This window comes from Homo sapiens, chromosome 11 (genome assembly GCF_000001405.40).
Source record: "Homo sapiens chromosome 11, GRCh38.p14 Primary Assembly".
NCBI classification, from domain to species: Eukaryota; Metazoa; Chordata; class Mammalia; order Primates; family Hominidae; genus Homo; species Homo sapiens.
The window spans coordinates 47,741,909-47,768,785 of record NC_000011.10 but is presented as its reverse complement, the minus strand read 5'-3'; the positions used below and the strand labels follow the sequence as shown (position 1 = coordinate 47,768,785).

The window sequence follows — 26,877 nt, the reverse complement described above, 5'->3', positions numbered from 1 at the left end:
TAGCCCAGGAGTTTGAGGATGCAGTGGGCTATAATCATGCCACGTTACTCCAACCTGGATGACAGAGCAAGACACGTTTAAAAATAAAATTAGAAATAATCATTTTAAAAGATCAAATGCAATTCTACGTGTAAAGTGCTTGGTGACTGACACATAGAGCTCAGTAAGTATTAGATATTTTTAGTGGGAACTGAGCTGCTGCGGATATAAAAATAAATACCACTCGCATTCCTTAGTTTAGAGGGGAGACGGATGTCAACAGGATGTCAAGTGCCAGGGAGAGGCTGGGCAGGAGAGGTCACGCCTGCACTGCGTCTGCATTGCGCCCTGATGAAACAATAAAAGACTTTCATCATGTGATGCAGTAATTATTCCAGTCAGTGCAAAGGAAAAGTGAGGGAGGTGATGCTCCAAGTGGCGGGCTCCAGAGGCAGGAGACGGGAGAGGGGGCAGTGTTAAAGCAAGGGTAAATTAAAGCATGTTGACGATAGTAGTACAAAACTGGTAAGGTTCCTGTATGCCATCCCAACAATTTTAGGCTTTTTCCTTGTAGGTAGTGGAGTATCTCGTGATTTTTCCCAGCTAATAAGCGAGAAAATATGAGACATCTATTTGTGTGCTGCAGGAAATTACAAAAGCGTAAAAGACCCACTGTCCCATTTAATGTTCAATGCTATACCCAAAGTAAGCCACAATAATCCGGGCGAAACGTGGGGAAGGGCTCAGAAAACAGCACACCTTTCTTTTTTTTCTTGAGACAGTCTCACTCTGTCACCCAGGGTGGGGTGCAGTGGCGCGATCTCGGCTCACTGTAACCTTTGCCGCCGGGTTCATGCGATTCGCCTGCCTCAGTCTCCCGACTAGCTAGGATTACAGGCGCCTGCCACCGCGCCCGACTAAATCTTTTGTATTTTTAGTAGAGACGGGGTTTCACCATCTTGGACAAGCTGGTCTTGAACTCCTGACCTCGTGATCCACCCGCCTCGGCCTCCCAAAGTGTTGAGATTACAGGCGTGAGTGAGCTGGGCCCAGCAGCACACCTTTCTAGAAGACAGACAACATGAAACTCTAGGCCGAGAATAGCCACAAGATGGAGGACAAGTAGGCAAAGAAAAGGCTTGGGGAAAGCGCATGGGTGGAACCCGACGGAAGTGGGGAAGTCGTTCTAATTCAGGCCCTACCGCACTATTGGCTGGACTCTCACCCTTTTTCCTTTTCCATTGGCCACCGGTCCCTTCTCTGGGTCAAAACAGCCAATCGCCTAGCGCAGTTGGTAATCCCGCCCTTTCTCCTGGTGAGGAGGAGCCAGAAGAGCCGAAGGGTCCGAGGCGCTTGCGCAAGCGCGTGCTCCGCTGGTTGAAAGCGGATCCGGGCTGGAGGCGGTGTCACGGTGTATGAATATTGATTACGCGTCGCAGCGCCCAGGGCCCAGCGCCCAGCCTCCAGTGCCCGCCCCTCTCGGCCGCCCGACGCTCTCTGCTCGCGCTTGGGCTCGCGATGGGGAAGAAGTCCCGGGCGGTACCCGGCCGTAGGCCCATCCTGCAACTCTCTCCGCCGGGTCCTCGGGGCAGCACGCCGGGCCGGGACCCGGAGCCGGAACCCGACACTGAGCCGGACTCAACCGCGGCGGTCCCCAGCCAGCCCGCCCCGTCGGCGGCGACGACCACCACCACCGCGGTGACTGCCGCCGCGGCCTCGGACGACTCGCCTTCAGAAGGCAAGGGTGCGCGGGGGGACCTGAACTCGAGCTCAGGGCTTGCGGCCTAGGCTCCTCACGGCGCCTGGCCAGACCCGGCGAGGGAGGCGGGCGAGGTCGGCTTCCGAGGCCTGCCTGCTGCGGGCCTGCAGGCGGGGCGGCCCTGGGCTCCGGGCCGCAGAAGGGCCAGGCCGAGTTCTGCGCCCTCGGCCCGGGCCAAGCCCGAGGCGCCATCTGTGGTGCAGGGCTTGCCCCGGGAACGTTTGAAATATGACCGAAGTTCGGGCATCCTGAGTCTCCCAAACGCCCCGGGTCGGTTTTGGGTAACGCAGAGGGTGGATGTGAGGATGAGTTTCCGCGTGCGCGGCCTGTGACTGTGGGCCAGGCCTTTCCACACGTCATCTGCCTCCTTTCGGTTTTGTCGAAACGGGGATAGAGACGTTTAGAAAAAGCTCTTAATATTCCAGCTAGTAAGCATCCCCACACTAGCAGAACTGCTGGAGAAATGGAGCTGGTAGGTTCCTAAGTATTTGTGTGGTTCTCACTGGAGTGGTGCTTAGATTAAAAGTGACTCCAGGACTAGGCGCCGGAGAAGCCGCGACCGTTTCACATGTTCAGAGATCACGCTGGTTCGTTAATTGGAAAAAATCCGCAATAGCAGTGTTTGGTGTGTCTTGTAAAGGTCCTATCATAGCCTGGAGAATACTTACTGTTTTTGTATGTATTTGTAAGTATTGCAGATGTAACTTTTTAAGAGTTTTGTTTTGTTTTTTTCGAGACAATGTCTCAATCTGTCGCCCAGGCTGGAGTGCAGTGGCGCGATCTTGGGCTCACTGCAACCTCCACCTCCCGGGTTCAAGCGATCCTCCCGCCTTAGCCTCCTGGGTAGCTGGGACTACAGGACCCTGCCACCATGCCCGGCTAATTTTTGTATTTTCAGTAGAGACGGAGTTCATGTTTCCCGGGCTGGTCTCGAACTCCAGGGCTCAAGCGATCATTACAGGCGAGAGCCATCGCGCCCGGCCATGCAGATGTATTAATAATTTTTATTTACCATGGTAAGAGTCTTCCCTTGATGTTGAAGTTTGTAAGCAGATGAAAGACTCCAGGGCACGGTGACTCATGCCTGTAATCCCAGCACTTTGGGAGGCCGAGGTAGGCGGATTACTCGAGGTCAGGAGTTTGACCAGCCTGGGCGACAAGAGCGAAACTCCGTCTCAAAAAAAAAAAAAAAAAAAGATTCCAGCTCTGTGTTTATTATCTCCCAATTATTTGGGTCAATGAAATGTCCTTTCTTTTTTTTGAGATGGAGTCTTCCTCTGTGGCCCAGGCTGCAGTAACCTCTGCCTCCTGGGTTCAAGCGATCCTTCTGCCTCAGCCTCCCGAGTAGTTGGGATTACAAGCGAGTGCCATCATGCCTAGCAATTTTTTTATTTTTTGTATTTTTAGTAGAGATGGAGTTTCACCATGGTGGCCAGGCTGGTCTTGAACCCCTGACCTCAAGTGGCCCCCCCCCCCCCCCGTCTTGGCCTCCCAAAGTGCTGGGATTACAGGTGCGAACCCATCCGAAATGCACTTTTTAAAAAATTGATGGAATCTAGAGCTGAAATGTTAAATCAAAGGTTGGTTTGTCACCTCTAGTGTTTTCTCTGGTCTGGAATCTGACTGCAGTTTTCTTTTCTTTTCTTTTCTTTTCTTTTCTTTTCTTTTCTTTTTTTTTAATCCAGATGAACAGGAAGCGGTGCAGGAGGTTCCTAGAGTTGTTCAGAATCCTCCAAAACCAGTCATGACCACTAGACCCACAGCTGTTAAAGCAACAGGTATGCTTTTGTTTTGTTTTTTACATTTTTTCTCCCACGTCTTTCATTAAAGTCAAGTTGGGTTTGTACATAGAATGTTTTGCTGAATGCTTTAGTGTTGCTAACATTATTTCTCCCAAAAATATGATTTAAGATTATTTTTGTTTGTGAGAGAATGTTGATGTATATACACTTTGACCAGTGCAAAATTTGTTGTTTTTCTTTACCCAAAACGTTTTTTACTGTTTTTTTTTCCTGATGCTATTTTATAACTAGTTTTCTGGTCCTCCCACTAGCTTGGTGTTCATTAGGCATGCCAACTCCTATTCCTTTTCTAACACTCTGGCTTGATTGGTTACCTAACAAACATTGGTGGACCTGGAAATTGATCTTATTAAATATTTTCAAGTACAAAGGAATGCCATAGTTGCAACAGTGGTTTTGTAGACAAACCTGGGTTCAATTCATCACTCTGGCATTCACACTTAGACTTTGGCGCAATTACTAATTGGGTTGAACCTCATTAATCTGTAAAATGGATCTTTTATCTCTGAGATATTTCCAGATGTGACATAGTAAGTGCCAGGAATGTTAATTTTCTCTACTCTGTGTATCTTGGAAGAGTAAAATGTGTTTTAATATTAAATATTCTATAATTGGTAGTAATTTCTTTTCAGTTCAGAATACTTTTTGTACTATTTGATGCTTAAAATGATAGATGCTTATTCCTCTCTCCTCACCATTTGCCACCTAAAAAAAAAAAAACAAACAAAACACCCCAGTGTGGGTTAGAAAGCTAAAATTTGAATGTGAGAGAAATTTCAGAACTACATTATACCATTTTGTATTTGCCAACTGCATATGTTATTTCATTTGAGACTTAACACTCATTTAAAATATGTAGAATTTAGCCAGGAGCAGTGGCTCACGCCTGTAATCCCAGCACTTTGGTAGTCTGAGGCAGGCGGATCACCTGAGTTCAGGAGTTCGAGACCAGCCTGGCCAACATGGTGAAACCCCATCTCTACTAAAAACATAAAAATTAGCTGGGCATGGTGGCGCACACCTATAATCGCAGCTACTCAGGAGGTGGAGGTTGCAGTGAACTGAGGTTTTGCCACTGCACTCCAGCCTGGGCGACCGTAAGAACCTGTCTCAAATAAATACATAAAATAAAATATAAATTTAAATGTTTCTAGGAGAAACTTCCTTGATTACTCCTGTGGTTTGAATGTCCTCTCGTGATGTCAACATCTTCCATTAGGCCCCTACCTCCCAACACTGTTGCACTGGGGATTTAATTTCCAAAACATCCTTTTTAGGGGCACATTCAAGCCATAAGAGGTATATACCTAAGAAATAATTTACTGCCTGATATAGGTAGCTGATATACAAATTGTGTAGCACCATCCCTCAAAGGTAAGTAAGAATGTTGAGGTTTGAGGGGTCAACACCTTTCTCAAAAAAAGACTGCTAAAAACTATGGCTCTGGGCCAGGCACAGTGGCTCACGCTTGTAATCCCAGCATTTTGGGAGGCCGAGGCAGGTGGATAATGACGTCAGGAGATCGAGACCATCCTGGCTAACACGGTGAAACCCCATCTCTATTAAAAATACAGAAAATTAGCTGGGCGTGGTGGCGGGCGCCTGTAGTCCCAGCTACTCGGGAGGCTGAGGCAGGAGAATGGCGTGAACCCGGGAGGCGGAGCTTGCAGTGAGCCGAGATCACGCCACTGCACTCCAGCCTGGGCGACAGAGCAAGACTCCGTCTCAAAACAAAACAAAACAAAACAAAACACTATGGCTCTGAAGAATGACCATGCTTTCTCAGGCTTTAAGTAGCAACAAATCTTTTTTTTTTTTTTTTTTTGAGTTCAAGTGCAGTGGTGTGATCTTGGCTCACTGCAACCTCTGCCTCCCGGGTTGAAGTGATTTCTCCTACCTCACCCTCCTGAGCAGCTGGGATTACCGGCTAATTTTTGTATTTTTAGTAGAGACGGGGTTTTGCCATGTTGGCCAGACTGGTCTTGAACTCCTGACTTCAAGTGATCCACCCGCCTTGGACTCCCAAAGTGCGGTGATCACAGGTCTGAGCCACCACGCCCAGCCTGCAACACATCTTCATCTTAACAGTAGTCAAGGACTTGTTCTTACAACTCTAGGGTTTAAGTGATCTTCCTGCCTTGGCCTCCCAAAGTGCTGGGATTACAGGCATGAGCCACTGTGCCCAGCCCAGGAGCTTAGTTTTTAACGCCCCTGAAAATGGGTGGCTCATGCCTGTAATCCTAGTGCTTTGGGAGGCTGAGGTGGGAGGATCACTTGAATCCTAGAGTTCAAGAGCAGCCTAGGCAGCAGAGAGACTCTTTTTTTTTTTTTTTTTTTTTGGAATCAGAGTCTCTGTTGCCCAGGCTGGAGTGCAGTGGCGTGATCTTGGCTCACTGCAGTCTCTGTGTCCTGGGCTCCGGCGATTCTCCTTCCTCAGCCTTCCAAGTAGCTGGGATTACGGGCCCACGCCACCATGCCCAGCTAATTTTTGTATTTTCAGTAGAGACGGTTCACCATGTTGGCCAGGCTGGTCTGGAACTCCTGACTTCAAGTAATCCACCTGCCTCAGCCTCCCAAAGTGCTGGGATTAAACGCATGAGCCATCACACTTGGCCGAGACCCCCACCTCTACAAAAAAGTTTAAAATTAGCTAGACGTGCTGATGAGCACCTGTGGGCCTAGCTACTTGGGAGACTGAGGCAGGAGGATCGCTTGAGCCCAGGAGTTCAAGGCTGCAGTCAGCTATATATGATCATGCCACTGCAACCCAGTCTAGGTGACAGAATGAGACCCTGTGTCAAAAATAATTTAAAAAAATAGGCGGGGCACGGTGGTTCACGCGTGTAATTCCAGCACTTTGGGAGGCCAAGGCGGGCGGATGACAAGGTCGGGAGTTCAAGACCATCCTGGCCAACATAGTGAAACCCCATCGCTACTAAAAATACAATTAGCTGGGTATGGTGGCACGCACCTGTAGTCCCAGCTACTCGTGAGGCTGAGGTGGGAGAATCGCTTGAACCCGGGAGGCGGAGGTTGCAATGAGCTAGACCACACCATTGCACTCCAGCCTGGGTGACAGAGTAAGACTCCATCTCAAAAAAAAAAAACAGCCAGACGCTGTGCCTCACGCCTCTAATCCCAGCACTTTGGGAGGCTGAAGCTGGCGGATCATCTGAGGTCTGGAGTTCGAGACCAGCCTGACCAGCACGGAGAAACCCCGTCTCTACTAAAAATACAAAACTAGCTGGGCATGGTGGCGCATGCCTGTAATTCCAGCTACTTAGGAGGCTGAGGCAGGAAAATCGCTTGAACCCAGGAGGCAGAGGTTGCGGTGAGCCAAGATCACGCCATTGCACTCCAGCCTGGGCAACAAGAGCGAAACTCTGTCTCAAAAAAAAAAAAGAAATTAAATTCTTGGAGTTCTTTAGTACCTGCTTATAGGTCAGTGACACCTGGCCAGCTTTGTTGTTGTTTTTAATAAAATTTTTTTTCTTTCTGTAGACATGGTCTCACTTTATTGCCCAGGCTGTTCTCAAGGAGGCTCAAGTGATCCTCCTTCCTTGGCCTCCCAAAATGCTAGGATTATAGATGTGAGCCACCGTGACCATCCTGTTGATTTTGTTTCTAAGATTTTTCTCTTTTTTTTTTTGCTTTGAGATGGAGTCTTGTTCTGTCGCCCAGGCTGGAGTGCAGTGGTGTGATCTTGGCTCACTGCAACCTCCGTCGCCTGAGTTAAAGTGATTCTCCTGCTGCAGCCTCCCTAGTAGCTGGGATTACTGGCTCATGCCACCATCCCCAGCTAATTTTATATTTTTAGTAGAGACAGGGTTTCAGCATCTTGGCCAGGCTGGTCTTGAACTCCTGACCTTGTAATCCACTCGTCTCAGCCTCCCAAAGTGCTGGGATTAGAGCGGTGAGCGACCATGCCCAGCCTCTGAGATTTTTCTAAGATAAAGCAATTTTACCTGATAATGTGAACGTTTATTTTCAGTGTTACTCTAACTTCATTCCTGTTAACAGTATATACACTGTATTTTCTGAGATTTAATTAAATTTTGTATGTATTTTATGACTTGCTTTTATTCCTTTAGCATTACTTTTAATCCCTTTAGTAATATTTCATGTGATTCTATAATAGTCTGATTTATCACAAAATGGTAATAAATCAGGTATGTCCTATGATTTGCTTTGCCAGTCCACTGTTTGAGAGCATTTGAGTGTTTACAGATTTTAGTTGTTTCAAGCAAGCCACCAGAAGCTTTGAGCAAAGTTTTTTTGGAGTTATGTCTTGGTATTATAGTCTCAAAGATGAAACTATATAAAATAAACTTGAGTTTTGTAGCTCTTGGTACCTGTTGCCAAATTTCACTTAAGATATATGGAATCTAGGCGGTCACTGTGGCTGCCGCCTCCCAACACTATGGGAGGCCAAGGCAGGTGGATCACCTGACGTCAAGAGTTCGAGACCAGCCTGGCAACATGGTGAAAACCTGTCTCTACGAAAATAGAAAAGACCAGGCTGGGTGGCTCACGCCTGTGATCCCAGCACTTTGGGAGCCTGAAGCGGGTGAATCACCTGAGGTCGGGAGTTCTAGATCAGCCTGGCCAACATGGTGAAATCCCATCTCTACTAGAAATACAAAAAAATTACCTGTGGTTGGTGGTGCACTCCTCTAATTCCAGCTGCTCGGGAGGCTGAGGCAGGAAAATCGCTTGAACACGGGAGGCAGAGGTTGCAGTGAGCCAAGGTTGTGCTGCTGCGCTCCAGCCTGGGTGACAGTGAGACTCCATCTCCAAAAAAAAAAAAAACAAAAAAATACAAAAATTACATTGGCACGCACTTGTAATCCCAACTACTTGGTAGGCTGAGGCAGGAGAGTCGCTTGAACCCAGGAAACAGAGGCTGCAGTGAGCCGAGATCATGTGATTACATTTCACCCTGGGTGACAGAGCAAGACTCTGTCTCAAAAAAAAAAAAAAAAAAAATGTTTGATCAATTTATGATGTCTCTCTGAATTTCTCACAAACACTAGGCTTAATAAGTTTCATTTTCTTGGCTAATTTATTATGTTTTTAGGAGTTTAGAAGAAGTTTGTCCATAGGTGAAAAGCTCTTAGGTGAAGAAAGGGAATAGGCAGAGCCGATTTTGCCTGTGGACCTGGGGAACTACCTCTTGTTGGGAAATTTTGTAATGAAAATACCATGCAGCTTACCTGATTGAAACTTTTTACTGAAAGTGATTATATCTATGATTGTCATTAGAAGTATTTTTATTTTTAATTAATTTATTTTGAGTTAGAGTTTTGTTCTTGTTCCCCAGGTTGGAGTGCAATGGCACAGCCTCGGCTCACTGTAACCACCTCCTCCTGGGTTCAAGTGATTCTCCTGCCTCAGCCTCCCAAGTAGCTGGGATTGCAGGTGCCTGCCACCACGCCCAGCTCCTTTTCTTGAATTTTTAGTAGAGATGAGTTTCACCATGTTGGCCAGCCAATCTTGAACTCCTGACCTCAGGTGATCCACCCGCCTTGGCCTCCCAAAGTGCTGGGATTACAGGCATGAGCCACCGTGCCCGGCCAGTATTTTTATTTAAAAATAAAATTTCCCACTCTCCTTTCCAGAATCCATCAGTACTGTATACAAAAGTGTGGCGTTATTTCATACAGAAGTTTCTCCTTTGGTAGTTCTGCTCTTATAAAGCTGAATACATTTTGTTCAGAATATCAAGAAAATTGGGCCGGGCGCCATGGTTCACGCCTGTAATCTCAGCACTTTCGGAGGCCAAGGCAGGCAGATCACTTGAGGTCAGGAGTGCGAGAGCAGCCTGGCCAACATGGTGAAACCCCATCTCTACTAAAAATACAAAAAAATTAGCCAGGCGTGGTGGTGCACGCCTATAATCCCAGCTACTTGGGAGACCGAGGCTGGAGAATCACTTGAACCTGGGAGGCAGAGGTTGCAGTGAGTCAAGACTGCACCATTGCACTCCAGCCTGGGCAAGAAGAGCGAAACTCCATACCAAAAAAAAAAAGCCAGGCGCAGGTCTCACACCTGTAATCCCAGCACTTTGGGAGGCCAAAAAGGGCAGATCACTTGAGGTCAGGAGTTCGAGACCAGCGTGGCCAACATGGTGAAACCCCGTCTCTACTAAAAGTACGAAAATTAGCAGGTCGTGGTGGCGTGCGCCTGTTAATCCTAGCTACTCGGGAGGCTGAGGCAAGAGAATCACCTGAACCCGGGAGGCGGAGGTTGCACTGAGCTGAGATTGTGCCACTGCACTCCAGCCTGGGTGACAGTGTGAGACTCTATCTCAAAAAAAAAAAAAAAATTAGAGACACTATCTAAGAAACGTCCTTGCAAATTTCTCTCTCTTTTCCCCCCCGCTTTTTTTTAGACGGAGTCTCGCCCTGTCACCAGGCTGGAATACAGTGACGTGATCTCAGCTCACTGCAATGTCCACCTTCCGGGTTCAAGCAATTCTCATGCCTCAGCCTCCTGAGTAGCTGGGATTACAGGCGCGCACCACCACAGCCAGCTAATTTTTTGTTTTTAGTAGAGGTGGGATTTCACCATGTTGGCCAGGATAGTCTTGATCTGACCTCGTGATCCACCTGCCTCAGCCTCCCAAAGTGCTGGCATTACAGGCATGAGCCACCATGCCTGTCCACAAACGTCCATGTAAATATCTTTCTTACCAGTTTAAAATACTATTGTGATCAGGTGAGGTGGCTCACACCTATATTTTGTGGTCAGACGAGGTGGCTCACACCTGTAATGTCAGCACTTTGGGAGGCTCAGGCAGGGGATTGCTTGAGCTCAGGAATTCAAGACCAAACTGAGCAACAGATTGAAACCTTTTGTGTGCTTAAAAAATGCCAAGTGTGGTGGCGTAGGCCTGTAGTCCTAGCTACATGGGAGACTGAGGCAGGAGGATGGCTTGTGACCAGGAGTTCGAGATGAGCCTAGGCAACATGGCAAAACCCCGTCTCTACCAAAGTTAGCCAGGCGCAGTGGTGCGCATCTCTAGTCCCAGCTACACAGGAGCCTGATTGAGGTGGGAAGATTGGTTGAGCTCAGGAGGTCAAGGCTGCAGTGAGCTGTGATCGCACCAGTTCACTTGTGCCAGAGTGAGACCCTGTCTCAAAAAAAAGAAATGAAAAATTTTGCCTAACATTTTGGGAAGTCAAGGCAGGAAGATCACATGAGGACAGGATGAGACCAGCCTAGGCAACATAGGAGATTCCATCTCTGCATAAAATAAAAAATAAAATAAATTAGCCAGGCATGGTGGGTTGTGACTCTAGTCATCCACTCAGGATGCTGAGGCAAGAGAATCATTTGAGGCCAGGAGTTTGAGGATGTAGTGATCCACTGCTTCTGCCTTGGCAATAGAGCAAGACCGTATCTCTTACATATATACATAAACAAATCAAACTTTAGAAATTGATGTTTAGAGGCTATGTGTGGTGGCTCATGCCTGTAGTCCCAGCACTTTGGGAGGCCGAGGTGGGCAGATCACTTGAGGTCAGGAGTCCAAGAGCAGCTAGGCCAACATAGCGAAACCCCATCTCTACTAAAAATGCAAACATTACCCAGGTGTGGTGGTGCACACCTGTAATCCCAGCTACTCGGGAGGCTGAGGCAGGAGAATCGCATGAACCCTGGAGGTGGAGGTTGCAATGAGCCAAGATTGCGCCACTGCACTTCAGCCTGGGCAACAGAGCAAGACTCCGTCTCAGCCGGGTGCGGTGGCTCACGCCTATAATCCCAGCACTTTGGGAGGCCGAGGTGGGCGGGTCACGAGGTCAGGAGATCAAGACCATCCTGGCTAACACGGTGAAACCCCATCTCTACTAAAAATACAAAAAAATTAGCCGGGCGTGGCGGGCGCCTGTAGTCCCAGCTACTCAGGAGGCTGAGGCAGGAGAATGGCGTGAACCTGAGAGGCAGAGCTTGTAGTGAGCGGAGCCACTGCACTCCAGCCTGGGGGACAGAGCGAGACTCCATCTCAAAATAAAATTGCTATTTAAGAACTTACCTACATATGCTGGAAAGGATGTGGAGAAATAGGAACGCTTTTATGCTGTTAGTGGGAGTGTAAACTAGTTCAACCATTGTGGAAGACAGTGTGGTGATTCCTCAAGGATCTAGAACTAGAAATACCATTTGACCCAGCGATCCCATTACTGGGTATATACCCAAAGGATTATAAATCATGCTGCTATAAAGACACATGCACACGTTATGTTTACTGCAGCACTATTCACAATAGCAAAGACTTGGAACCAACCCGAATGTCCATCAATGATAGACTGGATTAAGAAAATGTGGCACATATACACCATAGAATACTATGCAGCCATAAAAAAGGATGAGTTCATGTCCTTTGTAGGGACATGGATGAAGCTGGAAACCATCATTCTGAGCAAACTATCGCAAGGACAGAAAACCAAACACCACATATTCTCACTCATAGGTAGGAATTGAACAATGAGAACATTTGGACACAGGGTGGGGAACATCACACACCGGGGCCTGTCATGGGGTCGGGGGTGGGGGAGGGATAGCATTAAGAGAAATACCTAATGTTAATGATGAGTTAATGGGTGCAGCACACCAACATAGTACATGTATACATATGTAATAAACCTGCACCATTGTGCACATGTACCTTAGAACTTAAAGTATAACAACAACAACAAAAAACTTAACCTACATACAGAAAGAAAAAAATGAAGGCAGGAATTACGATACTAAGGCACTGAATATGAACTCCTACATGATTAATGGAACAATTTATGTTTACTTTTAGGTGACCTTTGAGTTTATGTATGGGATGTATGACACACAAAACTAGATTTAACTTTCGATAAATCTGTTCATTTACCAACTTTTTAGTGAGCGTAGAATGTGTCAGCGCTGTGAAATTTAATATAAGTAATAGCTGGAAAAGTCTAGCTAGAATTTAACATTTTATGTGTTTATAATACATATAATAATACTCTATGTATTATATTGTTAATTGTAATCTTGGAGTAGCCACAGATGATCCAAAAGGAAATGGCATAGCAGCATTACAGAGGCCATACCTGATACCACTTAAATTTGAGGAAGACATTGATCATTGGTTTTAGCCATGTTGAGCCCCATTTTTAATTCCTGTCACTTCATGTTTTTAATTTCTGTCACTTCCTATTTGAGGAATAATCATTGATTAAAAGCTTCGTTTTTAACTTTGAAAGTCTTTATTTCTTTAGTTTTTGAAAGTCTTTGTTTCAGCTGCTACACTGTAATTGGCTCAGTTTGAAGTAAACACTTTAATCACCAAATTCTAAAATCAAGATATACTATCTATGAACAATTTGGAAAGAGAGTGAGATTGAATAATTGATTGAAATAACTATGCAGATTAATTTTCTTGTTCTCGATTTTTTTTGTTTTTGTTTTTTTTTTGGAGACATGGTCAGTCTCACTTTGTCACCCTGGCTGGAGTACAGTGGAGATGTTTCGGCTTAATGCAGCCTCAACCTCCTGGGCTCAAGCTATCCTTGCACCTCAGCCGTATGCTCGGCTAAATTTTTATTCTTTTTCCTTTTCCCTTTTTTTTTTTTTTGTTTTTGTTTTTATGGGATAGACAAGGTCTCACTATGTTTTCGAGGCTGGTCTCAGATTCTGGGCTCAAATGATCTTCCTGCCTCAGATCCTCCCGAAGAAGTTGGGTCTGTAGACATAAGCTGTGTTGCCTGGCTCATAGATCAACATGTTTTTTTATTTTTTATTTTATTTATTTATTTATTTTGAGACGGATTTTCACTGTTGTTGCCCAGGCTGGAGTGCAGTGGCGTGATCTCAGCTCACCGCAACCTCCGCCTCCCGAGTTCAAGCAATTTTTCTGCTTCAGCCTCCTGAGTAGCTGGGATTACAGGCATGTGCCACCACACCTGGATAATTTTGTATTTTTAGTAGAGACAGGGTTTCTCCATGTTGGTCAGGCTGGTCTTGAACTCCTGACTTCAGGTGATCTGCCCGCCTCAGCCTCCCAAAGTGCTGGGATTACAGGTGTGAGCCACCATGCCCAGCCCAGATCAATTTTTTTTTTTTTTTTTTAACCCCCGGAGACAGAGTCTTACTCTTTTGCCCAGGGTGGAGTGCAGTGGCGTGATCTTGGCTCACTGCAACCTCTGCCTCCCAGGTTCAAGCACTTCTCCTGCCTCACTAGCTGGGACTACAGGCACGTGCTACCAGGCCTGGCTAATTTTTTGTATTTTTAATAGAGATGGGGTTTCACCATGTTGCCCAGGCTGGTCTCAAAACGCCTGACCTCATGATCCACCCACCTCGGCCTCCCAAAGTGCTGGGATTACAGGCGTTGAGCCACTGCACCAGGCCTATAGATCAATTTTTATTAGCTTTAACCATACGATGTAATTTATTCTTCTGTGGTAGTTCAGTGATTATTAGTTTTGCGGTTATGTTCTAATCTGTAAGTAAGTTTAAAAAAAACATGTTATACTTCCGCTTTAGATGCTTCTTAGGACATATTGACATTGTTGTTACAAATACTGTTTACCTTTTTGTTTCTAGGCGGTCTATGCTTGCTTGGTGCTTATGCTGACAGTGATGACGATGACAATGATGTTTCCGAAAAACTAGCACAATCCAAAGAGACAAATGGAAACCAGTCAACTGATATTGATAGTACATTGGCCAACTTCCTAGCGGTTAGTGGTGCTTTCGTTTGGAGTTTTAGTTACTGAAGCTACTTTGGGACCTGGATCTTAAGTGGTCAGCGTACTTGTCAGTTCAATGTCTTCCTCCTCCTTTCTCCCTCTCCCTCCAACACTCTCTTGTATTTCTCCCGATCTCTATCTCTCTTTTTGTTTTGTTTTGTTTAACTTTAAGAGATGGGGTCTCACTGTGTTGCTCAGGCTGGTCTTGAACTCTTGGGCTGAAGCGATCCTCCCACCTCGGCCTTCCAAAGTGCTGGGATTATAGGTGTGAGCCATCACACCTGGCTGTCTCTCCTTTTTTTTTTTTTTCTTGAGATAGAATCTCACTCTGTTGCCCAGTCTCGAGTGCAGCGGTACGATCTCGCCTCACCGCAACCTGTCTCCTGGGTTCAAGTAGCTGAGGCTACAGGTATGTGCACCCGAGTAGCTGGGGCTACAGGTATGTGCCACCACACCCAGCTGATTTTTGTATTTTTGGTAGAGACGGGGTTTCACCATGTTGGCCAGGCTGGTCTCAAACTCCTGACCTCAGGTGATCAACCCACCTCGGCCTTCCAAAGTGTTGGGATTACAAGCGTGAGCCACCACCTCCCTTTTCTTTTTGTAAAGCTTTCAAAGAGAAGAAAGGCAAATTAGAAGAGACTGGGGAGCTTGTATAATTGGAAGATGAGGGTTTTGATTTGAGAAGCTTAGAATGAGTATCTAGAATTTTTTTTTTCTCCCTCGAGACTGGGTCTTACTGTCACCCAGGCTGAAATGTGGTGGCGTGATGTTGGCCCACTGCAACCTCTGCCACCCAGGTTCAAGTAATTCTCCCACCTCAGCCTCTTGAGTAGCTGGGATTACAGGCATGTGCCACCACGCCCGATAATAATTGTATTCTTTTTTTTTTGTTTTTTGTTTTTTTTGAGACAGAGTCTTGCTCTTTCACCCAGGTTGGAATGCAGTAGCGTGATCTCGGCTCACTGCAATCCCCGCCTCCCAGATTCAAGCAATTCTAGTGCCTCAGCCTCCCAAGTAGCTGAGATTACAGGTGCCCACCACCACATCCAGCTAATTTTTGTATTTTTAGTAGAGACAAGTTTTCACCATATTGGCCAGGCTGGTTTTGAACTTCTGACCTCAGGTGATCCGCCCGCCTTGGCCGCCCAGAATGCTGGGATTACAGGCGTGAGCCACCGTGCCCAGCCTAATTTTTTTTATTTTTAGTAGAGGGAGATTTCACCATGTTGGCCAGCCTGGTCTCGAATTCCTGACCTCAAGTGATCCACCTGTCTCAGCCTCCCAAAGTGCTGGAACTGTAGGTGTGAGCCACTGTGCCCGGCTCATGTAGAATTTTTAAAAAGTGATTGCCATTTCCTTAAGTTTCTTGTTTTTGATATAATTACTGCATTTGTTACTCTTTTCATACTGAAGGAGATCGATGCCATAACAGCTCCTCAGCCTGCAGCTCCTGTAGGAGCTTCTGCTCCACCTCCAACTCCACCTCGACCAGAGCCAAAGGAAGCAGCAACATCTACCCTTTCTTCTTCTACTTCAAATGGAACAGACTCCACCCAAACATCTGGTTGGCAATATGATACTCAGTGTTCACTGGCAGGAGGTAAACTTGATCCTTTGATTTTTAAAGAAAAGTAAAATCCTTAAAGGGATTCTAGGCATTCACTTTTCTGGTTTTTTGTTTGTTTGTTTGTTTGTTTGTTTTGAGATGGAATCTCGCTCTGTCGCCCAGGCTGGAGTGCACTGGCGCGATCTTGGCTCGCTCCAACCTCCACCTCCTGGGTTCAGACAGTTCTCCTCCCTCAGCCTCCTGAGTAACTGGGACTACAGGCGCACACTGCCATGCCTGGCTAATTTCTCTTTTGTATTTTAGTAGAGACGTGGTTTCACTGTGTTGCCCAAGGCTGGTCTCGAACTCCTGAGCTTAGGAAATCAGCCTGCCTTGGCCTCCCACAGTGCTAGGATTACAGGTGTGAGCCATCGCTCCCGGCTGGCATTCAGTTTTCTAAAGATGAAAGCCCAGAGACTTTAACCTTAGACTTTAGGATTCTGTCTTTTTATTTTTATTTATTTAATTGTTTTTTTTTTTTTTTGAGACTGAGTTTCACCCTTGTTGCCCAGGCTGGAGTGCAGTGATGCGATCTCGGCTCACTGCAACCTCCGCCTCCCAGGTTCAACCAATTCTTCTGCCTCAGTCTCCTGAGCAGCTGGGATTACAGGCACCCACCACCACGCCCAGCAAATTTTTTGTATTTTTAGTAGAGATGGGGTTTCACGATGTTGGCAAAGCTGGTCTCGAACTCCTGACCTCGGGGGATCCACCTGCCTCGGCCTCCCAAGGTGCTGTGATTACAGGTTTGAGCCACCGCGCCCAACCTCTGTCTTTTTAAATAAAGCATGTTGAAGATGGTAGGTAGGATAGTCGGCTCAGAAAACTAGTAGGATGTAATTTTTATCTTTTAAAAAGTAATTGCTTGTCCTTGCCAGTTGAATAAGAAAAGCCATGATATTCAAAGTATTTTAGGTACATTTTTGGACCAGCAAACTGCTTTTTTCTATTTACTAATTTAGAGGTGGAGTTTTGCTCATGTTGCCCAGGCTGGAGTGCAATGGTGCAATCTTGGCTCATCGCAGCCTTTGCCTCCCGAGTTCAAGCAATTCTCCTGCCTCAGCCTCCCGAGTAGCTGGGATTACAGGCACGCACCACCACGCCCAATTTTTGTATTTTTAGTAGAGACAGGGTTTCTGCATGTTGATCAGGCTGGTCTCAAACTCCCGACCTTAGGTGATCTGCCCACCTTGGCCTCCCAAATGCTGGGATTACAGGCATGAGCCACTGTAGCCGGCCAAACTGTTTTTTTTTAAAAAATGTGTTCAAAGGTGACTCTAAATGTTAGATATTGAGAAAATAATTCTTGGTGTTAGGCCAGTGGTTCTCAACCAGTGTTGGGGGGTGCCCCTAGGGGATATTTGACAATGTCTGTCAAATATTTTTTATTGTCACAATGTAGGAGGCAGGGTGGATGGGAGTGCTACTGTATCTAGTGGGCAGAGGCCAGGGGTGCTGCTAAAACCTCCACATAGGATTGCCCCTCCACAACAAAGACCTGTGTGCCCAAAAGTTAACAGTGCTGTTTTGAGAAACTGTTAGGTGATTTTGGCTTTTGAGCTTATATGTAAGCCAGAATTGTAGAGGGATTTGTGCTTAAAATTTGTTTTATCTTCTAGTCGGAATTGAGATGGGCGATTGGCAGGAAGTCTGGGATGAGAACACGGGATGTTATTATTATTGGAATACACAAACAAATGAAGTGACTTGGGAGTTACCCCAATATCTTGCCACACAGGTACAGGGATTACAGCATTACCAGCCCAGGTAAGAATAAATTTAAAAGTGAAATTGCCTAGAAGGAAATTGAAGCCTTATCTTTTGCTGATAGTATTTGTCTTATATTTCTCTTGCTAAGTATATATTTTTTTAGTTCTGTGCCAGGTGCTGAAACTAGTTTTGTGGTAAATACAGACATATATTCTAAGGAGAAAACGATTTCTGTTTCCAGTAGTAAAAGTGGACCAGTCATAGCCAAGCGAGAAGTTAAAAAGGTCAGTGTCGAAACTTACCTCATTTGTTTATTTTCAGATCTAATAAGCGTTACTCTGAGCACAGGAGTGGAAGCCTTCTCTTAATATTTTATGTCATACATGTGAAATAGGATAAGTTTCATAACTTTCACTTTGTTTCTGTGTATTATGTAGCCTTTATAGCGGTTACTCACTTGACTTTTTCTTTTTTCTTTTTTCTTTTTTTTTTTTTTTTTTTTTTTTTTTTTGAGACAGAGTCTCGCCCCGTCACCCAGGCTGGAGTACAGTGGTGCGATCTCAGCTGACTGCAAGCTCCACCTCCCGGGTTCACACCATTCTCCTGCCTCAGCCTCCTGAGTCGCTGGGATTACAAGCACCCGCTACCACACCTGGCTTATTTTTTGTATTTTTAGTGGAGACGGTGTTTCACTGTGTTAGCCAGGATGGTCTCGATCTCCTGACCTCATGATCCGCCTGCCTTGGCCTCCCAGAGTGCTGGGATTACAAGCGTGAGCCACCACATCTGGCCTTTTTTTTTTTTTTTTTTTTTTTTTTGATATGGAGTCTCGCTCTGTTGCCCAGGCTGGAGCGCAGTGGTGCTGTCTCAGCTCACTGCAACCTCTGCCTCCCAGGCTCAAGAAGTGATTCTCCTGCCTCAGCCTTCTGAGTAGCTGGCATTACAGGCACCTGCCACCATGCCTGGCTAATTTTTGTATTTTTATTAGAGGCAGGGTTTCACCATGTTGGTCAGGCTGGTCTCAAACTCCTGACCTCAGGTGATCTACCTGCCTCAGCCTCCCAACGTGCTGAGATTACAGGCATGAGCCACTGCAGCTGGCCCACTTCACTTTTTCTTTGAGAGCTTTAGGGTATCACAGAGGCCTCTTGGATCATTGCAAAGGACGTGGGAGCAGCAGTCCAGACAGGGCTCCACTTCACATAGAATCATTCTATTATTTTTCGGATTCCATATATAAGACATTTTAAAAATATAAAGGTAACTACTTTAAAAACTACTGCAGGTTGAGTATTTCTTAATTGAAATGCCTGGGATCGGAGATAATTTAGATTTTGAATTTTTTTGAATTCTGAAATATTTGCGTTATACTTAGCAGTTGAGTATTCTTAATCTGAAAATGTGAAATCTGAGATGCTCCAGTGAGCATTTCCTTTGATCATCATGTCAGTGCTCAAACGGTTTCAGATTTTGGATTTTTCAATAACGGATACTATGTTAGTGAAACCTGAGCATTTCTATAGCCTAATTAGTAAGAAAAGTAAGTTGTATTCCTTAGGGAGTGTATATTGAATTCCAATTTATCTTCAATTTTAAAGACTTTTTTGCATCAAAATATATTTTAATTTTAATTTTTTTCTTTTTGAGACAGAGTCTTGCTTGGTTACCCAGGCTGGAAGGGAGTGGCGCGATTTCAGCTCATTGCATCCTCCGCCTCCCAGTTTCAAGCAATTCTGCCTCAACTTCCCGAGTAGCTTGGATTACAGGCACAACGCCTGACTAATTTTTCTATTTTTTTTTAGTAGAGACGAGGTTTCACCAGTTGGTCAAGCTGGTCTTGAACTCCTGACCTCAAGTGATCCACCTGCCTCAGACGCTGGGATTACAGGCACAAGCCACCGCACCTTTCCTTTTTATTTACTTATTTTTGAGACAGGATCTGACTCTGTCACCCAGGCTAGAGTACAGTGGCACGACCATGGCTCACTGCAGATTTACTCTCCTGAGCTCAAGCAGTCCTGCCTCAGACTGCTTAGTAGCTGGGACTACAGGTGTGCACCACCATGCCAGGTTTTGTTTGTTTGTTTGTTTGTTTGTTTGTTTTTTGAGAGACGTGGTCTCACCATGTTTGCCAGACAGGTCTCAAACTCTGAGCTCAAGTGATGCTTCTGCCTCGGCCTCCCAAATTGCTTACATTATAGGTGTGAGCTACTGCATGTAGCCCAAAAAAAATACTTTAAAATAATATAATTGAGCTTGGCGCAGTGGCTCACACCTGTAATCCCAGCACTTCGAGAGGTCAAGGCAGGCGGATCACTTGAGGTTAGGAGTTCAAGACCAGCCTGGCCAACATGGTAAAACCCCGTCTATTAAAAATACTAAAATAACTGGGTGTAGTGGCACATGCTTGTAGTCCCAGCTACTTGGGGGTCTGAGGCAGGAGAATCGCTTGAATCTGGGAGGCAGAGGTTGCAATGAGCTGAGACCGCACCACTGCACTCCAGCCTGGGTGACAGAGTGAGACTCCATCTCAAAAAAAAATTTAATAATAATAATAAAATAATAATTTAATCAGGGCAGGAAGATGGCTTGAGTGCAGGAGTTCTAAACCAGCCTGGAAAACATAACAAGATCAACCCCATCTCTACAAAAGAAAAATTACCCAGGCAAGGTAGCACACACCTGTAGTCCCAGCTACTCAGGAGGCAGAGGCAAGAGGATAGCTTGAGCCCAGGAGTTCAAAATTATCATTGTGCCAGTGTGTTCCAGCCTGGACAGAGTGAGACCATCCAGAAATAATAATAATAACTTAAATTTACAGTTACAGAAAGGAGGATAGGACAAGTGTTACCCCAATGGGAGAAGCAGATACTTTAATCACAAATTTCATTTCAGGAATAGTTCATTTTATTTTATTTTATTTTATTTTTATTTTTTATTTTTATTATTTTTTTTTTCTTTGAGACCTAGCCTAGCTCTGTCACCCAGGCTGGAGTGCAGTGGCGCGATCTCTGCTCACTGCAACCTCCACCCCCCGGGTTCAAGCGATTCTCCTGCCTCAGCCTCCCGAGTAGCTGGGAGTACAGGCGCCTGTCCCACGCCCGGCTAATTTTTGTAGTTTAGTAGAGACGGGGTTTCACCATATTGGCCAGGCTGATCTCGAACTCCTGACCATGTGATCCTCCCACCTTGGCCTCCCAAAGTGCTGGGATTACGGGCATGAGCCACCACGCCCAGCTATTTTATTTTTTTGAGACAGTCTCTCACACTGTCATCCGAGCTGGAGTACAGTGGCATGATCTCAGTTCACTGCAACCTCTGCCTCCCAGGTTCAAGCGATTCTTCTGCCTCAGCCTCCCGAATAGCTGGGATTACAGGCGCACGCCGCCATGCCGGGCTAATTTCTGTATTTTTAGCAGAGATGGGGTTTCACTATGTTGGCCAGGCTGGTCTCAAACTCCTGACCTTGTGATCCGCCTGCCTTGGCCTCCCAAAGTGCTGGAATTACAGGCATGAGCCACTGCGCCCGGCCTAGGAATAGTTCACTTTAGTCTAAATCACCTTCATGGCATACTTACTAAATTTTCTTATCAGGCCCAGCATGGTGGCTCACGCCTGTAATCCCAGCACTTTCGGAGGCTGAGGTGGGCAGATCACCTGAGGTCAGGAGTTCAAGATCAACTTGGCCAACCTGGTAAAACCCTGTCTCTACTAAAAATACAAAAATTGGGCCTGTTGCCAAGGTGGGCGGATCACCTGAGGTCAGGAGTTCGAGACCAGCCTGGCCAACGTGGTGAAACCCTGTGTCTACTAAAAGTACAAAAAAAATTAGCCAGGCTTGGTGGCTCTCGCCTATAATCCCAGCTGCTCAGGAGGCTGAGGCAGGGAAATTGCTTGAACCCGGGAGGCAGACGTTGCAGTGAGCCGACATCACACTTTGCACTCCAGCCTGGGCAAGAAGAGCGAGAGTTCGTCTCAAAAACAGAAACAAAAATGAGCTGGGTGTAGTGGTGCATCCCTGTAATCCCAGCTACTTGGGAGGCTAAGGCTGTGAGGCTGGGAATCGCTGGAACCTGGGAGGCAGAGGTTGCAGTGACTTGAGATCACGCAATTGCACTCCTGGGCAACAGAGTGAGACTCTCTCAAAAAAAAAAATTTCTCATCATACAGAAGAAGGTAAAGATTTATCCAGTCATGTTATGAGCTGACAAAATACTGATCTTAAATCTATCTCTGTTTACTACTAGTCTGCCTTTTGACATCCTGAGAATAGCAGGGAGGATATATTTGAATCCTACCTAGAACTAGGCTCTCATTCAGTCAGTGTCTGTCTAAAGTAATAATGTAATGGTATAAATATATACTCACCTGTTGGGAGTAAGTGGTTTTGGCCGGGCACGGTGGCTCACACCTGTAATCCCAGCACTTTGGGAGGCTGAGGTGGGCAAATCACAAGGTCAGTAGTTTGAGACCAGCCTGGCCAACGTGGTGAAAGGCCTCTACTAAAAATACAAAAAATTAGCTGGGCATGGTGGCGGGCGCCTGTAATCCCAGCTACTTGGGAGGCTGAGACAGGAGAATAGCTTGAACCTGGGAGGCAGAGGTTGCAGTGAGCCAAGATTGTGCCACTGCACTCCAGCCTGGGTGACAGTGCGAGACTCCATCTCAAAAAAAAAAAAAGTCGTTTTTACCTTGAGTATTCAGCTACTGAAAACAGTTAATATGAATGTGTGTGCAATTGAATGTATGTGCAGGTGAGATTTGTTTCAGAATTAAATGAGACTAAATTATTTTGTTCTTTATAGGAAGTAAATGAAGGAATTCAGGCTCTCTCAAATAGTGAGGAGGAGAAGAAAGGGGTGGCAGCATCGCTGCTTGCTCCTTTATTGCCTGAGGGAATAAAAGAAGAAGAAGAGAGATGGAGAAGAAAAGTAATTTGTAAAGAGGAGCCAGTTTCAGAAGTAAAAGAAACAAGTACAACAGTAGAAGAAGCAACAACAATAGTAAAGCCACAGGAAATTATGTTGGACAATATAGAAGACCCTTCTCAGGAGGATCTTTGCAGTGTTGTCCAATCTGGAGAAAGTGAGGAGGAAGAGGAACAAGATACCCTTGAACTGGAGCTAGTTTTGGAAAGGAAAAAAGTAAGCTTTTGAAAGTTACTTGTAGAATGTTTTTTCCTCAGTACTACTCTACAGGGATCATTGTGCTTGACTTACAACCATTATTGGGATTTTGTTTTTCTTATCCCATCATCTAGGTATGTTGAAGCTTATGCAGCAAAAACTTTAAACTACAGAGGTGTAGGTTTTTTGGTCCTTGATGATACTTTTGGTAGTTATCGGGGGAACTCACCCCCAATATTTCAACCTAGGTTCTTTCTATTTTCCATAAGTGTCGGCCAGCTGAGAAATAGAAAGAGTATAATGAGAGGAATTTTACAGCTGGGCCGCCGGGGGTGACATCACATATCGGTAGGACTATGATGCCCACCCGAGCCTCAAACCAGCAAGTTTTTTATTAAGGGTTTCAAAAGGGGAGGAGGTGTAAGAACAGGGAGTAGATCATGTGCTTCAAAGGGCAAAAAGGTACTGATAAGGGTCTATGTTCAGCGGTGCACATGTTGTCTTGATAAACATCTTAAACAACAGAAAACAGGGTTCAAGAGCAGAGAATCAGTCTGACCACAGACTTACCAGGGCCGGGTTTTTCCCCACCCTAATAAGCCTGAGGGTACTTCAGGAGACCAGGGCGTATCTCAGTCCTTATCTCAACCGCATAGGACAGACATTCCCAGAGCGGCAGTTTATAGACCTACCCCCAGGAATGCATTCCTTCCCCAGGATATTAATATTAATATTCCTTGCTAGGAAAAGAATTTAGCGATATCTTCCCTACTTGCATGTCCATTTATGGGCTCTATGCAAGAAGAAAAATATGGCTCTTTTTGCCTGACCCTGCAGGCAGTGAGACCTTATGGTTTTCTTCCCTTGTTCCCTAAAAATCACTGTTACTCTGTTCTTTTTCAAGGTGCACTGATTTCATACTGTTCAAACACGTTTTACAATCAATTTGTACAGTTAACACAATTATCACAGTGGTCCTGAGGTGATGTACATCCTCAGCTTACTAAGATAACAGGATTAAGAGATTAAAGTAAGAAAGGCATAAGAAATTGTAAAAGTGTTATTTGGGAATTGATAAATGTCCATATTAAAATGAAATCTTCACAATTTATGTTCCTCTGCCATGGCTTCAGCTGGTCCTTCCATTCAGGATCCCTGACTTCCCACAACAGGTAGTTGATAATCAATAAAGAGACTTGACATTACTCAGACTTATACAAATGGGTACCAGAAAAAAACCAGAAAGAATGAATAAGACCTACTATTTGATAGCACAGTAGGGTGACTAGTCAATAATAACTGTATATTATAAAATAACTTTAAAGAATGAAGTTGGATTATTTGTAACTCAAAGGATAAATGCTTGAGGGGATGGTTATCCCATTCTCCATGATGTGCTTATTTCACATTGCATACCTGTGTCAAAACATCTCATGTATCCCATAAATATATACACTTACTATGTACCCACAAAAAAATGGGCAAAATTAAAAAATAAAAATAGAGTGAGTAGGCCGAGTGCAGTGGCTCATGCCTGTAATCCCAGGACTTTGGGAGGCTGAGCAGGAGATCACTTGAGCCCAGAAGTTGAGACCAATGTGAGCAACATACCCAGATATCATCTCTTACTAGAAAAAAAAAGTATGATGACATGTGCCTGTAGTTCCAGCTACTTGGAAGGGTGAGGTGGGAGGATTGCTTGAGCTCAGAAGGTTGTAGCTACAGCGAGCCATGATCATGCCACTGCACTCCAACCTGGGCAACAGAGGGAGAGCCTGTCTCCAAAAAAAAAAAAGTGCTTTCTGTTCTCAAAGAATTTAAATTTCAACAACATAGTCTTGTTTATTATTCTGATTATACATATTAATAAGCAGTTAATGACACTAACTTAATTGTCATGTTCTTTGTAGGCAGAGTTGCGAGCCTTGGAGGAAGGAGATGGTAGTGTGTCAGGGTCTAGTCCACGTTCTGATATCAGCCAGCCAGCATCTCAAGATGGAATGCGTAGGCTTATGTCTAAAAGAGGAAAATGGAAGATGTTTGTTCGAGCTACCAGTCCAGAATCTACCAGTAGGAGTTCTAGTAAAACTGGACGAGATACTCCAGAAAATGGAGAAACTGGTAATTTGTGCTTCACATTAAACTTCAGAGTTGAAAGATATAGAGGGGAAGGAAACTCTTGTCTTTTTTTGTTTCCTCTTCAACAAAACAGGAGATTGTACTTTTACTCTTTGGGAGAAGTGCTGGGAAGGAAGCTTCCATCCACCTCTCTACCTTTTCCAGATCTTTTTCTAGTAGAGGAGTAAGAGCCTGAGAGGCTGACACCCACTGGATGGTGGTGTATTCAGAGTCCAGTCCCATTTCTTCTCTCTGTCTACGTTGCCCAGCCTCTGTGTGGGTGGGTAGAGAGTTTGATTGTGTCATGAGGACCCAAGTTGTCTTCATTCAGGTAATAAGGACCTTATCATTCATTCATGGTAAGGTCGAAGAGCTCCTGCTGCATTTTTTAATCTATTTTCAGAGATCCCTGGATGAAGCTAATATTTTAATCTCCATTTGGCCCTAATTATTTTTTTTTCTTTTCCTTTTTGAGACGGAGGTCTCACTCTGTCACCCAGGCTGGAGTACAAAGGCATGATCTTGGCTCACTGCAACCTCCGCCTCCCAGATTCAAGCAATTCTCTTACCTCAGCCTCCCGAGTAGCTGGGATTATAGGTGCCTGCCACCGCGCCTGGCTATTTTTTGTATTTTTAGTAGAGACGGAGTTTCGCCATGTTGGCCAGGCTGATCTCGAACTCCTGATCTCAGTTGATCCGCCCGCCTCCCAAAGTGCTGGGATTACAGGCGTGAGCCACCGCTTTCAGCTGTGGCCCTAATTCTGTAGTGGAAAGTCAGCAGTAAGATAAGGACGCCAAACCTTAGTTGAGTACACCTAGAAGAAAATACTTTTATGGATCGTGGTTCAAAAACAGCCCAGTGCTGCTTCACAGGAAACTGAGGCAGAAGGATCCCTGGACCCTAGGAGTTCCAGGCTAGCTGGGCAACATAGCAAGACCCTTGTTTCTTGATAAAAGAAAAAAAAGAAACAAAGAACCAAACAAAAAAAAAACAACAATACAGGTGTTAAATAAAGAAAGACATCCTTGTTTGAATTTTTTCTTTTCTTTTTATTTATATTTTTTGAGACGGAGTTTCACTCTTGTTGCCCAGGCTGGAGTGCAATGGTGCAGTCTTGGCTCACTGCAACCTGTGCCTCCTGGGTTCAAGTGATTCTGCTGCCTCAGCCTCCTGAGTAGCTGGGATTACAGGCGCCCGTCACCACGCCCAGCTAATTTTTTGTATTTTTCAGTAGAGATGGGGTTTCACCATGTTGGCAAGGCTGGTCTCGAACTCCTGACCTCAGGTGACCTGCCCACCTTAGCCTTGCAAGGTGCTGGGATTACAGGCATGAGCCAGCACCCCTAGCCTGAATTTTTTCTTTTCAGTTGGCAGTTCGAAATAACATAAAGGAAAATTCTGTAAATCCTCTTTATCTTTTCATTATTCTCATTCCCTACCCCGTGGTCCTTTTTTTTTTTTTTTTTTTTTTTTTTTTGAGACGGAGTCTTGCTCTGTCCCCCAGCCTGGAGTGCAGTGGTACGATCTCTGCTCACTGGAACCTCCACCTCCCGGGGTCAAGCAATTCTCTGCCTCAGCCTCCTGAGTAGCTGGGATTACAGGCGCCTGCTACCATGCCCAGCTAGTTTTTGTGTTGTTAGTGGAAATGGGATTTCACCATGTTGGCCAGGCTGGTCTCAAACATCTGATCTTAGGTGATCTGCCCACCTTGGCCTCCCAAAGCAGTGGGAGTACAGGCATGTAATCCCAGCTGTGCCCAGCTATTTTCTCTGTCCTTTATAAACATATATCCTTCCAGACCATGTTCTTTATATACGTTTACAGTTAGGTATGTATGAGTGTGTTTATGTGTATATATGTAAATTTTACCATATATGAGAGCATATAGATTATTAGGCAACATACAGTTTTCACTTAACAACGTGCCTTAAAAATTATTGTTCATTGGTTAAAACTGAGTGGTGTAGATGTGCGTATTTAACTCTGCCCACTGTTGATGGACATTTAAATTGTGTCCATGTTTCACTAAAAAAAATTGCTGCATTT

The 26,877-nt window shown here is 45.3% G+C and overlaps 1 protein-coding gene across 26 annotated transcripts in view, besides 4 other annotated features; it reads left to right on the top strand.

Moving 5' to 3' along the window:
• Positions 1,230-2,154: an enhancer, noted in NCBI's record as "NANOG-H3K27ac-H3K4me1 hESC enhancer chr11:47788184-47789108 (GRCh37/hg19 assembly coordinates)". NCBI's record gives its function as "activates a minimal SCP1, AML or CMV promoter by ChIP-STARR-seq in primed H9 embryonic stem cells {active_cell/tissue: H9 hESC(primed)}" and the evidence as "EXISTENCE:reporter gene assay evidence [ECO:0000049][PMID:30033119]".
• Positions 1,431-2,040: a silencer, noted in NCBI's record as "silent region_3338". NCBI's record gives its function as "represses an Ori minimal core promoter by ATAC-STARR-seq in GM12878 lymphoblastoid cells {active_cell/tissue: GM12878}" and the evidence as "EXISTENCE:reporter gene assay evidence [ECO:0000049][PMID:35858748]".
• FNBP4 (formin binding protein 4) overlaps positions 1,445-26,877 on the top strand; it is a 50,848-nt gene continuing 25,415 nt past the window's right edge. For 10 of the 26 annotated variants that reach the window (XR_930855.3, XR_002957136.2, XR_007062465.1 and 7 more), the window contains exons 1-8: positions 1,445-1,723; positions 3,424-3,516; positions 14,122-14,258; positions 15,684-15,870; positions 17,496-17,643; positions 17,750-17,870; positions 22,392-22,730; positions 24,623-24,833. Coding sequence is in view for 20 of the 26 variants with exons in the window: in NM_001441108.1 (NP_001428037.1) it covers positions 1,498-1,723; positions 3,424-3,516; positions 14,122-14,258; positions 15,684-15,870; positions 17,496-17,643; positions 17,750-17,870; positions 22,392-22,730; positions 24,623-24,833 (1,462 nt within the window). In the remaining 6 variants the exon portion in view is untranslated. Of the gene's footprint in view, positions 1,724-2,165; positions 2,211-3,423; positions 3,517-11,794; positions 12,014-14,121; positions 14,259-15,683; positions 15,871-16,388; positions 16,608-17,495; positions 17,644-17,749; positions 17,871-18,652; positions 18,847-22,391; positions 22,731-24,622; positions 24,834-26,877 lie in introns of those variants that run through there. The other 16 variants (XR_007062464.1, XR_007062466.1, NM_015308.5 and 13 more) reach the window with 11 other exon arrangements.
• Positions 2,155-3,080: an enhancer, noted in NCBI's record as "H3K27ac hESC enhancer chr11:47787258-47788183 (GRCh37/hg19 assembly coordinates)". NCBI's record gives its function as "activates a minimal SCP1, AML or CMV promoter by ChIP-STARR-seq in primed H9 embryonic stem cells {active_cell/tissue: H9 hESC(primed)}" and the evidence as "EXISTENCE:reporter gene assay evidence [ECO:0000049][PMID:30033119]".
• Positions 2,301-2,360: an enhancer, noted in NCBI's record as "active region_4703". NCBI's record gives its function as "activates an Ori minimal core promoter by ATAC-STARR-seq in GM12878 lymphoblastoid cells {active_cell/tissue: GM12878}" and the evidence as "EXISTENCE:reporter gene assay evidence [ECO:0000049][PMID:35858748]".